The sequence below is a fragment of the Homo sapiens genome, chromosome 1 (genome assembly GCF_000001405.40).
Source record: "Homo sapiens chromosome 1, GRCh38.p14 Primary Assembly".
NCBI lineage: Eukaryota > Metazoa > Chordata > Mammalia > Primates > Hominidae > Homo > Homo sapiens.
The window spans coordinates 2,003,961-2,018,312 of record NC_000001.11 but is presented as its reverse complement, the minus strand read 5'-3'; the positions used below and the strand labels follow the sequence as shown (position 1 = coordinate 2,018,312).

The 14,352-nt window shown below is 51.0% G+C and overlaps 1 long non-coding RNA gene across 2 annotated transcripts; it reads left to right on the top strand.

Annotated features, from left to right (window-relative positions):
- On the top strand, positions 225–5,115 carry LOC105378589 (uncharacterized). 2 transcript variants are annotated; one of them, XR_001737843.3, is made up of 2 exons: positions 225–2,948; positions 3,313–5,115. It is a non-coding gene; the product is annotated as an uncharacterized LOC105378589 (long non-coding RNA). The 2 variants fall into 2 exon arrangements; XR_001737844.3 differs by having other exon boundaries at positions 225–3,132.

Genomic DNA, 14,352 nt, shown 5'->3' with positions numbered 1-14,352 from the left:
TGTTACCCAGGCTGGAGCACAATCTCGGCTCACTGCAACTTCTGCCTCCCAGGTTCAAGCAAGTCTCCTGCCACAGCTTCCCGAGTAGGTGGGATTACAGGCACCTGCCACCACGCTCGGTTATTTTTTTGTATCTTTAGTACAGACGGAATTTCACCATGTTGGCCAGGCTGGTCTCGAACTCCTGACCCCGTGATCCGCCCGCCTCGGCCTCCCAAAGTGCTGGGATTACAGGCGTGAGCCACTGCACCCAGCCCTAGCCTGCTTTCTTAAATCAAGGAACGGGGCTCTAACAAGCCCAACAGGTCTCAACTCCAAGGCCCCCTTCCCGGCTGCTCACTGGCCCCTGCCGAGAGGGGTCCTTTGGGTACAGAAGCACTGACCTCCCTGTGTTCCCGGGGTTCCTGTCCGAGCCTGTGCTCTGCACACGTGCCCCTTCCCACGTGTCCCTTCCATGGATTAATTTAGGAGTTAATTCATGAAGAGGTGCCCAGAGCTTGGCCCGGCCCCCGGTGAGAGGCATTATTTTTATTCTTCCCCCTCCAGAACAGGGGTCTTGTCCGTCTTCTCCTTGGTGGTGTATTGGATGAAGTAGGTGCTCAGCAAATGTAGGAGGAGGTGCAGACTCCACATCTGCAAAGTCCATGCACCCACTGCGGCCAGCACGCCATCACTGCCTCCGGACAGTGCCCCGCCCTCCCTGTCTTTCCTTCCTGAGCTTTGGAACTAAGCAGTGAGAGTGGTTCATGGTCGCAATCCCTTCAATATCTGCGAAGAGCTTATCTGAGGATATCTTGGTGCTGATCACCTCTGAGAAGCAGCGTTGATCTTGACTCACTGGATCCGATTCATTCAGGATAAGCCACACCCTATTGCCATTTTCTTCACGCTCCTCTATTATCTGGGGCATAAAATTAACATTCAATTTTCTTCTTTTTCTTTTAAGAGACAAGGTCTTGCTCTGTGGCCCAGGCTGGAGTGCAGTGGCACGATCTCAGCTCACTGTAGCCTCCACCTCCCGGGTTCAAGGGATCCTTGCACCTCAGCTTCTGGAGGAGCTGGGACCACAGAGGCATGTCACTGCACCCAGATAATTTTCTATTTTTTGTAGAGATGGGGTCTCACTATGTTTCCCAGGCTGGTCTCAAACTCCTGGCCTCAAGGGATCCTCCCCCGTGGCCTCCCAAAGTGCTGAGATTGCAGGCATGAGCCTCCGTGCCCAGCCAATGTTGAACTTTTGCTGGAAAGTCGTGCTGTTGTGTGTATGTCAGTTGAAGCTGGGCGGGCATCTTAGCCAAATATCTGGTGGTTTGGTGGCATCAAATTGTCTCCTCTTCCTTCAGTCCTAGAGGCAAATGCATGTCCCATCCATCATTCACAGGTTTCTGCAAGGTTTGAAGTCTGCACACTTCATTTCCATTCTTTATTGTTCCTAACTGGTCTTTCTTTCTTTCTTTCTTTTTCTTTCTTTCTTTCTTTTTTGTTTTTGAGATGGAGTTTCGCTCTTGTTGCCTAGGCCGGAGGGCAGTGGCACTATCTCAGCTCATTGCAACCTCCACCTCCTGGGTTCAAGCAATTCTCCTGCCTCAGCCTCCCAAGTGGCTGGGATTACAGGCGCCTGCGACCATGCCCAGCTAATTTTTGTATTTTTAGTAGAGACAGGGTTTCACCATGTTGGCCAGGCTGGTCTCGAACTCCTGACCTCAAGTGATCGGCCCACATCGGCCTCCCAAAGTGCTGGGATTACAGGCGTGAGCCACCACACCCGGCCTCCTAACTGATGTTTCAGTTTGGATCTGAAGAACGGGAATTTTCATAATTTCTTTTTCAAGGTTTTTGAGAATTAGTTTGTTGCCATTTCCGAACTTCCATCCCATTGTGATGTGCATAACCAGTCGGCTTCCTTAGCCTCATCCTCCACCCAGGGAAGCTCCGACCACGCCAGCACCAGGAAGGCCAGCCGGGGAGCAGCCTGGCCCAGGGGTCAGGAGCCGGGGCCTGTGTGACTGGGGCCTGTGTGGCTGGCACCTGGTGGATGTGAGCCCCAGGACAGGGAGTTTCTGTGCCCATGAGATGGAAGCAGCTCACTTCTTGGCCCCTTTCAAGAATCTGGGAAGAGCTCCAGGAGTCAGAGGTCTGGGTGCCAGTCCCAGCTCTGCTCCAAACTGGCCGTGTGACCTCAGCGAAGTTATTTCCCAGTTTTGTTTTCTTCTTTTACAAAATGACAGGGTGAGAGTCGTGATTGGTTTTCTTAGTGTCAGAAGTGCTGAACTCTGTTAGAAAGCGTCTCAGGTTGTTTTGTTTGACAGTGACTACCCACTTTGCAGAGACCTGGGCTGCCCGCTCTCTGGGGAATACTGGAGGTTATGCCCCATCTCCTGTCCTGTGGGAGAACCCACCCTCCGAACGAGGCTCTGGTGAGGTTTTCACAATCAGTAACAAGGCCGATCTCCATCAATGGAAGTCTCCCCGTTTGAGATGGGGTGTGTGCTCCTTACCCAGGCTCCTGAACAAAACCCACCTCCTTGTCTTGGCACCACTGAGAGTGCACACCGAGGGGGCTCCAGCACCAGATTGTGGGAACAGTCACGAGAAAGCAGCTCAGACTTCACACCCAGAGCCCTTGATCCCTACACACCCAGTATTCCTTCACAGCGCTCTTCCTGCTTCCTGGACACGTGGAACTGCTTCTCCATCGGGGAGGATCCATCCAGAGCCCTTTGGGTGGGTGCTCAGGGCAATAGCTGCTGCCTCTTCCTTCTGCTCAGTGCTGGGAGGCGTTACACTTTCCCCATATGGCACGGAGCAGAACGTGCACCTTTGGCTCTGGAAGGAATGAACATCCTACCCGTTAGTTAGCCCTGGGAGTCACTGACTCGGTTCTTCCCTGGACACCAATGTCCTATGGAGCACACAGAAAGCCACGGAAGTGTGGTCTGCGGGTTGAGGTGGGTATTCAGATGCCAGCCTGCAGCCCACTTACATTGTTTCTTTTGGACTGACACCTTGCCGGATGCTCAGATGCCCACAGCGCAGGGGAAGGGACGGCCTAGAGTCCGAGGCGTGGGCAGGGAGCTGGCCCCCGTCCATTGCTGCAGCTCCGCAGCAGCAGGACAGCCCTGGGAGGTGGAGGTGAGTCACCGGGACCTGGGAGAGGAAACGGCGCTCGCTAAATTTAAACCTCCTTCCTGATGTATTTGTGAGGTTGTTCTGTTACTTTCCTGGGGAAATGCACCAAACAGAGAAAATGGCAGGGACACAGAGAAGAACGTTATCGAGTTAGGTGGTAATTATTAATCCTGTGATTTTCAGACGGACTCCGTTCATGTGGATAAGCAGAGGAAATTTGGCAGAAACGACCAAATGCAAAATACGTGTAGCAGCCTGAGACCGGCCGTCTACTGAAACAAAGGATGCAGTTCAGTCGGAAACCACGCTTAGCTGAGTAGCTGTCTTTAGCCATCCAGGCCCTGAGAACCAATGAACAACCCAGCTTGGCCGCTTAGAACATTTTTTCTATACTTGAGTTAAATAGATATCCAAGAACCATTACTCGTTTTTAATGTGGAGAAGTCGGTATTCTATTCTCGTGTTCTATGTTTTTTAAAGTGGCAATTTGAATTATTTCGTGCGATAGAAAACCTTAAACACAAAGTAACGTTTCTAACAAAAGGGCTGTCGATCAAGTGACAAACACGTCCTACTTTTAGATACAAGCACGACTGAGGCAACGGCACGAAGACGCCTAAAGTGGGCTGCTGGGGAGACAAGATCTGGCCGCGAATGGAACTCGCGGCAGCTCATTAACGGGACCGTCCAGCAGGAAGGTGGGTTGGCAGCCTTCTCCCAGGGCTCCCCACGATCCCTACCCCTGGTGTGGCGTGGCCTTCCTCCTCACATGTCGTCTGGACCAAGCAGTGTGTTGTTCTCATCCATAAAGAGTGATGGGCCGGGCACGATGGCCACACCTGTGATCCCAGCACTGTGGGAGGCTGAGGCGGGAGGATCTCCTGAGCCCAGGAGTTTGACACCAGCCTGGGTAGCATAGGGAGACCCTGTCTCTACAGAAAAAAAGTTAGCCAGGTATTCCAGAGGCTGAGGTGGGAGGATCGCTTGAACCCAGGAGGTGGAGACTGCAGTGAGCCGTGATCGCACCACTGCACTCCAACCTGGGCAACAGACTGAGACCCAGTTTCTAAAACAAATAATAAAAAGGCAGGGTGCAGTGGCTCATACCTGTAATCCCAGCACGTTGGGAGGCCAAGGTGGGCGGATCACTTGAGGTCAGGAGTTCGAGACCAGCTGGCCCACATGGTAAAACCCCATCTCTACTAAAATGCAAAAATCAACCGGGCACAGTGGCACACGCCTGTAATCCCAGCTCTTCAGGAGGCCGAGGCAGGAGAACTGGGAGGCAGAGATTGCAGTGAGCTGAGATCGTGCCACTGCACTCCAGGCTGGGTGACAGAGCTAGACACCATCTTGAAAAAAAATAAAAGTTAAATAAAAAGAGTGATGAGGCATCCTGAGATTCATTTATAAAATGCCGTGATTCAGGTCTCAGGGCACTGTCGCCCCTACTCACTTTGATGAAGCCAGTGCTGGGTTGCTGCTGAGGTGGGGAGGTTCATGGGCCAGGAACTGAAGGCAGCCATGAGAGCCAGACCCCTCCACCACCCCCAAGACAGCAGGGAACTCACTCCAACAGCCACCCTGGGATGCTGCCACAGCTGAGCCTGGAGGTGACCGTGACCCTGGCTGACGTCGGACTGCAGCTTTGTAAGGGAGACTGAGCCGGGACCCAGACCTACAAAAGCTGAGATGATAAACACTGTTTTAAGCTGCTGTGTGTCGCAGTGACTCGTGTGGTAGTGGATTTCTAGCAGAGCCGTCGTTCGTGTCTGCCTTCTCTCAGCTCAACACTCTGTAGGGCCACCCATGCCGTTGTGCATGTCAACGGTGGATTTTTTATTGCGAGTAATATTTCATTCCATTGCATGCTCACACCTCGGTTTGTTTAACTGTCTACCTGTTGATGAGCTCTGGGACATATGCAGTTCTGGGCTATTATGAGTAAAGCTGCTTTTAACATTTAAATACAAGTCTGTGTATGGACACATGTTTTCGTTTCTTTTGAATAAATATGTGTGGGATTACTGGGTTTCAAGGGGACTGTATGTTTAAGTTGGTAAGAAGCTGCCAATCTGCTTTCTTTTCTTTCTTTCTTTTTATCTTTTTGAGATGGAGTCTCACTCTGTCACCCAGGCTGGAGTGCAGTGGCGTGATCTCGGCTCACTGCAACCTCCGCCTCCCGGGTTCAAGAGATTCTCCTGCCTCAGCCTCCCGAGTAGCTGGGATTACAGGCGCACACCACCACACCCGCCTAATTTCTGTATTTTTAGTAGAGATGGGGTTTCACCATGTTGGACCAGGCTGGTCTCGAACTCCTGACCTCAGGTGATCCGCCCACTTCAGCCTCCCAAAGTGCTAGGATTACAGGCATGAGCCACCGCACCTGGCCTCCAATCTGCTTTCCAAAGTGGCTGTACTTTGTACTCCCTGCAGTAGTATGTGAGAGTTTAAGTTGCTCCAATGCTGATCAACACTTGACATTGGAAGTCTTTAAGTTTGACCATTTTATGACTGTGTGGAGGTATGTCATTGTGGGTTTAACATGCACTTTCTTTTCTTTAATTTTTTTTTTTTTTGAGACAGAGTCTCACTGTGTCATCCAGGATAGAGTGCAGTGGCGAGACCTTGGCTCGCTGCAACCTCCACCTCCCAGGTTCAAATGATTCTCCTGCCTCAGCCTCCTGAGTAGCTGGGATTACAGGCTGGCACCACCACGCCCGGCTAATTTTGTATTTTTAGTAGAGACGGGGTTTTGCCATGTTGGCCAGGCTGGTCTTGAACTCCTGACCTCAAGTGATCCACCCGCCTCAGCCTCCCAAAGTGCCGGGATTACAGGAGTGAGCCACCATGCCCAGCTTTTTAAAAATTTTTATTTTATTTTATTTTATTTTATTTTATTTTGTTAAATAGAGATAGCATCTCACTACGTTGCCCAGGCTGGCCTCAAACTCCTGGGTTCAAGCAACCCTCCTGCCTCAGCCTCCCAAAGTGCTGGGATTAGCGGAGTGAGCCACCTCGTCTGGCCAGCACGCATTTGCTGAATGGCTAATAGGCATCTTTTTATGTGCTTATTTATTTGAGTAGCTTTTGGTGACGTACGTGTCTGTTCAAATCTTTTAAAAGCCTAATGTTTTTAAAAATGAAGTTGTCAATCTCTCTTATTATTAAGAGTTTTTTCTATATTTTAGGTGCATGTCTGTTGTTGGATATATGTTTCGCAAACACCTTCTCCCAGTCTAAGGCCTGCTGATGCATTTTCACAACAGTATCTTTTGAAGAAACAAAGTTTGCAATGCTGGCGATATGGCCCTGTTTCTGTATGGGCCGCGCCCCACCCTGGCTCCCCTTCCACCCTGGCTCCCCTTTCCTGTGTGGTGGCCAGGACGCCTTCCTAGGCAAGTAGCTGGTGTCCTCGGAGGGCGCACCTCACCCATTTCCCCGCTGTCAGGATCTTGCCCTTGGCTCCCTCATGTCCCATCACTTGGGGGCTGTTGTCTCAAATATTTTGCTGAGTCTTTCAGTTGTTTCAGGCGTGAGGCAAACCTGTCCCTGTTACTCCATCTTGGCTGGAAGTAGAAACTTACCTTCATTTAAAGAACAAAATTAAATTAAGCCAGGCGAAGTGGCTCACACCTGTAATCCCAGCACTTTGGGAGGCAGAGGCGGGCAGATCACTTGAGGCCAGGCATTCGAGATCAGCCTGGCCAACATGGTGAAACCCCGTCTCTACTAAAAATACAAGAAGAAATTAGCCAGGTGTGTGGGAGCACGCCTGTAATCCCAGCTACTCAGGAGGCTGAGGCGGGAGAATCGCTTGAACCTGGGAGGCGGAGGTTGCAGTGAGCTGAGATCCCGTCGCTGCACTCCAGCCTGGACGACAAGAGTGAGACTCGGTCTCAAAAAAAAAAACGCAAAAAACAAACCAGCTGTACTGAGATAGGATTCACACAGCATCAACTTGCCTTCGCTTTGGAAAGTCATTTTCTCCCTGGGCGCGGTCGCTGGGGTCCTGGCACTGGGGCTCGTCTGGCCATTTCTTCTCCCAGCACTTCCAAGTCGCTTCTTGTCTTCTGGCTTCATGGTTTCTCGCAGGAAGTTTGCTGCCGTTTCTTTGCTGCACTTTATGAAATGTGTGTCTTTACACTCATGGTTGTAAAGAGTTTTTCCTTCTCGTTTTCATCAGTTTGGCTGCTGGCCATCTTGGTATGATTTTCTTTTTCTTTTTTTGAATAAATTGTATTCAACCTAGGTTATGTTGCAGCTCACCCCTCGTTACCAGTCTGGCAGCCAAGGAGGGTGGGGACAGGCCCTGAAGGGAGCCCTGTTGTCTTTCTGGGAAGACTCTGCAGTCTTCCTATACTTAGGGGGTGGGGGGCACAGGGTGCCAGCTCTTCCTCGGGAGGCATGAGTCTCCTCTGCAGGCTCTGAGGTTTCAGAAGAATCTGGGCAGCCAAAGCATTCAGGAGCATCCACCCAGATATCCCTGCCCCACGTATCAAGGCACCAGCTCATCTCAACCCAGACCTGGGCGTTGACACAGCAACCTGGCTTTGACTGAGAGTTGGTCGTCTTTGAAATTCAACTACGGGAACTCTCCAGGCCTCGTCGTGGTTTCCAGCATTTCCTTTTCTGCCACGGAGGGGACAAGGACCTCTCTGGCTTTCATGCTTAGTGTCGATGGCTGTTTGACCGTCTGAAACTTTTCATGATGCCTCTCTAGAGTGGGTTTTTGTTTGTTTGTTTGTTTGTTGTTGTTGTTGCTGTTGTTTTGAGACGGAGTCTCGCATTGTCACCCAGGCTGGAGTGCAGTGGCACAATCTCGGCTCACTGCAAGCTCCGCCTCCTGGGTTCACGCTATTCTCCTACCTCAGCCTCCCGAGTAGCTGGGACTACAGGCGCCGGCCACCACGCCCAGCTAATTTCTTTTTGTATTTTTAGTAGAGATGGGGTTTCACTGTGTTGGCCAGAATGGTCTCGATCTCCTGACCTCGTGATCCGCCCACCTCAGCCTCCCACAGTGCTGGGATTACAGGCGTGAGACACCGCGCCCGGCCTAGAGTGTTAATGCAACTTAATATCAGCCAGACCCCTGTACTGTTCTTAATATTGGCCAGAACGCCGTACTTGTACGCACCCTGGGCACCCTCCCAAGCACACATCTTTCTCAAATGCCTGAACCACTGCACCAGCCGCCGTCCTCCCAGGGCACTACAGGGAGAGCTTTACCTCGTGCAGGGCATCCATGTGCCACCCAGGATGGGATCCCATTGCCAGCTGGGCAGTGAGTGATCCAGCTCCAAACCCCATCGTGCCATCTGCCTTCTCAGACCATTCCTGGCACCACCTGTGCCTCTTTGTGCCCTCCAGTAAGCAGACCATGCAATGAAATCAGGAATGCAAAAGACTTGTTGAGAGCTCACACCTATGAAAGATCAAGGCAGAGTTGGGGAACCAGGCTGAGAAAGCCTTCAGGCCACAATACCCGTCCAACGTCTGTGAAAGAAAATTGGGAGGAAACAGAATCGGGCTGGGAGAGCCCGACCGCAATGCAAATCTCTCAACATTTTGGCCAACCCAGTGGAGGGGCATGGCAGGGCTCTGCAGCAGAGAATGCCCAGTGTCCACCAGGAGTCCCGTCTCAGGGGCCAGGGCTGCCCAGTGCCCCTGCGTGCTCAGTCATGGGCCAGGGGCCACCCAGAGAGTGTGCTCTGCTCAAACGCTGTTGCCGGTCCCTGCGGCACGGCTGAAAGCTGGAGGCTCCCTGCACGCCTCACAGCTGAACGCAAATCCATGCTCCAGTGAAGATGGAAGTGGCGCCCCTAAGGCTGCCACAACATTTCGGAATGGTAACTTAGTATCCAGCACCCTCCAAAGGTGGCCGGTGAGGGTTTTATTTTATTTTTAGAGGCAGGGTCTCGCTCTGTTGCTCGGCTGCAATGCAGTGGCATGATCACAGCTCACTGCAGCCTTGACCTCCGGAGCTCAAGCGACCCTCCTGCCTCAGCCTCAGGAGTAGCTGAGACTACAGGCACATGCCACCACACCCAGTTTTTTTTTGTTTTTGAGACGGAGTCTCGCTCTGTCACCAGGCTGGAGTGCAGCGGTGCGATCTCAGCTCACTGCAAGCTCCTCCTCCCGAGTTCAAGCGATTCTCCTGCCTCAGCTTCCTATGTAGCTGGGAATACAGGTACGCACCACCACACCCAGCTAATTTTCGTGTTTTTAGTAGAGACGGTTTCACCATGTTGTCCAGGATGGTCTCGATCTCTTGACCTCATGATCTGCCTGCCTCGGCCTCTCAAAGTGCTGGGATTACAGGCGTGAGCCACCGTGCCCAGCATTTTTTTTTTTTCTTTGAGACAAAGTCTCACTCTGTCACCCAGGCTGGAGTGTAATGGCACAATCTCAGCTCACTGCAACCTCCACCTCCCGGGTTCAAGTGATTCTCCTGCCTCAGCCTCCTGGGTCCCTGGGACTACAGGCACCTGTCACCATGCCTGGCTAATTTTTGTATTTTTAGTAGAGATGGGGTTTCACCATGTCAGCCAGGCTGGTCTGGAACTCCCAACCTTGTCATCTGCCCGCCCCAACCTCCCAAAGTGCTGGGATTACCGGCGTGAGCCACTTCACCCGGCTCCAGATAATTTTTTTAAATTATTTTTTATAGAGCCGGGGTCTCACTATGTCGCCCAGGCTGAATGAACTCGTGGACACTAATATATTTGAAGTGCTTCAATCCACTGCAATTTACTTTTCCTTTTGATACTCAGTTGATGCTTACTTTCGCCAGTGAGAGCCCCTTCAAACTGGCAAATGGATCCTCCGAGACAAACTAGAATCTGTGTTAATTTTCCTGCTTGCTGTTATGATGAGATGTTCTGGGGTCATCTTGTATGTTTTCTGCCTCATGTCTGAAATCCGTCATTTTTCCAAGAAGCCATGGTTTCTTTTCAAGGGAAATGGCAGGAAGAAACAATGGTCTGTGTGCTCCTCGCACCGGGACTGGTGACCGTTTGTAGTCCAGCACAATCCCAGGAATGAGGGTCCTTGTTTCATGTCTGTGCTGTCCACTGGGGTAGCCACCGGCCACAGAGGACTACTCAGCACCTGCAATGTGGCTACTGCCACTGAGGAATGCAATTTTACATTTTATTTGATTTAATTTTTTTTTTGGACAGAGTTTTTGCACTGTTGCCCAGGCTAGAGTACAGTGGTACAATCTAGGCTCACTGCAACCTCCGCCTCCCGGGTTCAAGTGATTTTCCTGCCTCAGCCTCCCGAGTAGCTGGGATTACAGGTGCCCACCACCACGCCCAGCTAATTTTTGTATTTTTAGTAGAGACGGGGTTTTACCATGTTGGTCAGGTTGGTCTCGATCTCCTGACCTCAAGTGATCCATCCACCTTGGCCCTGCAAAGTGCTGGGATTACAGGTGTGAGCCACTGCGCATGGCCTGATTAAAACTTTTTAATGTGGTAAAATATACACAAAACTTAACCACCTTCCCTGTATTACTTATTTGTTTTTTCTTTTTCTTTTTTTTTTTTTTTTGAGATGGAGTCTTGTTCTGTCGCCCAGGCTGAAGTGCAGTTGCACATCTCAGCTCACTGCAACTCAAGGATTTCTTGAGGCCAGGAGTTCTACACCAGCCTGGAAAAGATAGTGAGACCTCATCTCTGCAAAAATAAAAATAAAAATGACCAGCTACACGGGAGGCTGAGGCAGGAGAATGGCATGAACCTGGGAGGTGGAGCTTGCAGTAAGCTGACATTGCGCCACTGCACTCCAGCCTGGGCGACAGAGCGAGACTCTGTCTCAAAAAATAATAATAATAAAATAAAATAGAAATGAATTAGCTGGGCATGGTGGTATACACATGTAGTCCCCGCTGCTTGGGAGGCTGAGGTGGGAGGCTCTCTTGAGCGCAGGAGGTGGAGGCTGCGGGGAGCCATGATGGAGTCGCCGCACTCCAGTCTGGGGAACAGAGCCAGACATTGTCTCTTTGAAAAAGTTACTTTCTGAGGCCAAGGCGGGCAGATCACTTGAGCTCAGGAGTTCGAGACCAGCCTGGCCAACATGGTGAAACCCCATCTCTACTAAAAATACAAAAAACTAGCCAGGCATTGAGGCTCATGCCTGTAATCTCAGCTACTTGGGAGGCTGAGGCAGGAGAATTGCTTGGATCCAGGAGGTGGAAGTTGCAGTGAGCCAAGATCACTCCATTGCACTCCAGCCTGGGTGACACAGCGAGACTCTGTCTAAAAATAAAAATAAAAAGTCACTCAAAATTATCCTTTTTTGTATGGCTAACCCCCCCACATGCCATACAATTAGGTTCATTTGTTTCATTCTGTCTCCAAGTTTTAGATGCTTTTCTATTTTGATTTATTTTTGGTTTTCTAATTACACAGTTCTATAACTGAATGTAAGCACATTTAAAGAGATCTACTTTCTATTCCTGTGTCCTTCTGCCCCAGATAGTAACCTTTTTAATGTAAAAATATATATATATTCTTATTGCCACTGCTCCTTCTTACATAAATACTATACACACTTTTCTGCATCTTGATTTTTTTTTTTTTTTGAGACAGGATCTCACTTGTCACCCAAGCTGGAGTGCAGTGACACAGTCACAGCTCAGGGCAGCATCAATCTCCCAGGCTCAAGAGGTCCTCCCACCTCAGCCTCCCGAGTAGCTGGGGCTACAGGTGTGCACCGCCATGGCCGGCTAATTTTTTTTGTATTTTTTTAGAGTCAGAGTTTCACCATGTTGCCCAGGCTGGTCTCAAACTCCTGGACTCAAGCGATCCTCCCACCTTGCCCCCCAAAGTGCTGGGATTAGAAGCGTGAGCCGCTGCACCTGGCTGGATTTTTTTTTTCTTTTTTGAGATGGGGTTCACTATGTTGCCAGGGCTGGAGTACAGTGGTACAATCATAGCTCACTGTAGCCTCAAACTCCTGGGCTTGAGCAATCCATCCTGCAGCTTCCCAAGTAGCTGGGACTACAGGCTCAAGCCACCATGCCTGGCTCAATTTTTTTTACTTAACAATATGTTCTGGAGTCACTCCACAGCAGAACATAGAAATAAATGGTCCTTATACCTTCTTTACAGCTGACCTCCATCGTGTAGCTGTTCCACAGCTTCCTTAACCAACCAGTTCCATGGACACGGGGCTGTTCTCAGGCTGTCACTGTCCTTTCCTTCTTTCCTAGACAGTATATATATATATATAGAGAGAGAGAGAGAGAGAACGAGAGAGAGAGAGAGAGAGAGAGTTGGAGTCTCGCTCTGTTGCCCAGGCTGGAGTGCAGTAGTGTGATCTTGGCTCACTGCAAACTCTGCTTCCTAGGTTCAAGTGATTCTCCTGTGTCAGCCTCTCGAGTAGCTGGGATTACAGGCATGCGCCACCACGCCCAGCTAGTTTTTGTATTTTAGTAGACAGGGGTTTCACCATGTTGGCCAGGCGGGTCTCGAACTCCTGACCTCAGGTGATCCACCTGCCTTGGCCTCCCAAAGTGCTGGGATTATAGGCGTGAGCCACTGTGCCCGGCCCTTTCCTAGAAAGTATATTAACAGTTCATTGGGAAAGGTCCAGGGAGGCAAAGTTGATAAGGAAGAAGCCCTATCATTTCCGTGGAGTCGGGAAGAAGTATAATCTCTCTTATAAAAGCGAACCTGGGCTGGTAATGGTGGCTTGGTTCTATTCCTCAGATTCTGAGGAGGAAAGCGATCTGGCACTGCGGAAGGTGGGTGAGTGCAGAGGTGCTGTGGTGTCACCCAGCTACTTTCCACAGCCATTCTCACGGGTGCTGGGCATTCTGCAAGGTGTCTTGCCTCTGATGGATCAGGTTATGGGCCAGGATAAAACCAAAGGACCTCCCAGGCCTCACTGTGGCATCAGGAGCCGGCCACCCTGCAAGCCCTACACATGGCGGGCTGAAAGACTGCCAGGGTAGGGGACGCGTCCAATTCACTCGTGAGCCCAGTTCTTGGCATAGAGTGGCCCGGTGAGAGACCACTCCCTTTCCTCACACTCCCATGTCTCCATTGCAAACGGCCCCCACGGACCAGCGGTGCGAGAAGAGGCTCCGGTGTAACAGGATGCACAGTGAGATGGGCTGGGCAGCGGGGGATGGGGACTGTGGGAAAGGCAATGGGGAACGTCGGAACCGGCTTGGCATGTTGGGCCCATCTTCCGTTTTGTTTTTTGTTTGTTTGTTTGTCTTGAGACAGAGTCTCGCTCTGTCGTTCAGGCTGGAGTGCAGTGGCGCAATCTTGGCTCGCTGCAACCTCCACCTCCCGGGTTCAAACGATTCTCCTGCCTCAGCCTCTGGGGTAGCTGGGACTGCAGGTGTGCGCCACCACACCCGGCTAATTTTTGTATTTTTAGTAGAGACAGGGTTTCACCATGTTGACCAGGATAGTCTCGAACTCCTGACCTCAAGTGATCTGCCCAACTCAGCCTCCCAAAGTGCTGGGATTACAGGCATGAGCCACTGTGCCCAACCGGGTTTTTGCTGTTTTTAATTTTGAAACAGGGTCTTGATTTCGCTCAGGCCAGAGTGTGATGGCACCATCATAGCTCACTGACTTTGCTATTTACTTTTACAATTTTTCAGTTGGAGCCTTTGCTGGAACATAACATTCAGAAGTCTTTTTTTTTTTTTTTTTTTTTTTGAGCCGGAGTCTCACTCTGTCATCCAGGCTGGAGTGCAGTGGTACGATCTTGGCTCACTGCAACCTCCTCCTCCTGGATTCAAGCGATTCTCCTGCCTCAGCCTCCTGAGTAGCTGGGATTACAGGCAGCTGCCACCATGCCCTGCTAATTTTTGTATATTTAGAAGAGACGGGGTTTCACCATGTTGGCGAAGCTGGTCTCGAACTCCTGACCTCAAGTGATCCGTCCACCTCGGCCTCCTAAATTGTTGGGATGACAGGTGTGAGCCACCGCGCCCAGCCCGATCTTCCATTTGCAAGAGAAGAGGAAAATCCCCATTTTCACGGGAAACCTCCTAGTTTTTTAGGTTGACAAACGACTCCAAACCATCATGCACCCGCCCCGGTCCTCTGGGCCAACGCGCCGGTGCTGAGCTCCTCCAGGCCCCCCAAGTCTGTCTGTCACCTCCAAGCCTTGGCCCTGGGCCAGGCCTGGCTGTCTGGGACCCCGGAGACGTCCCCGCCCCGCGGCCTGTGGCCTGGCCCTTCAGCCGCGCCTCGG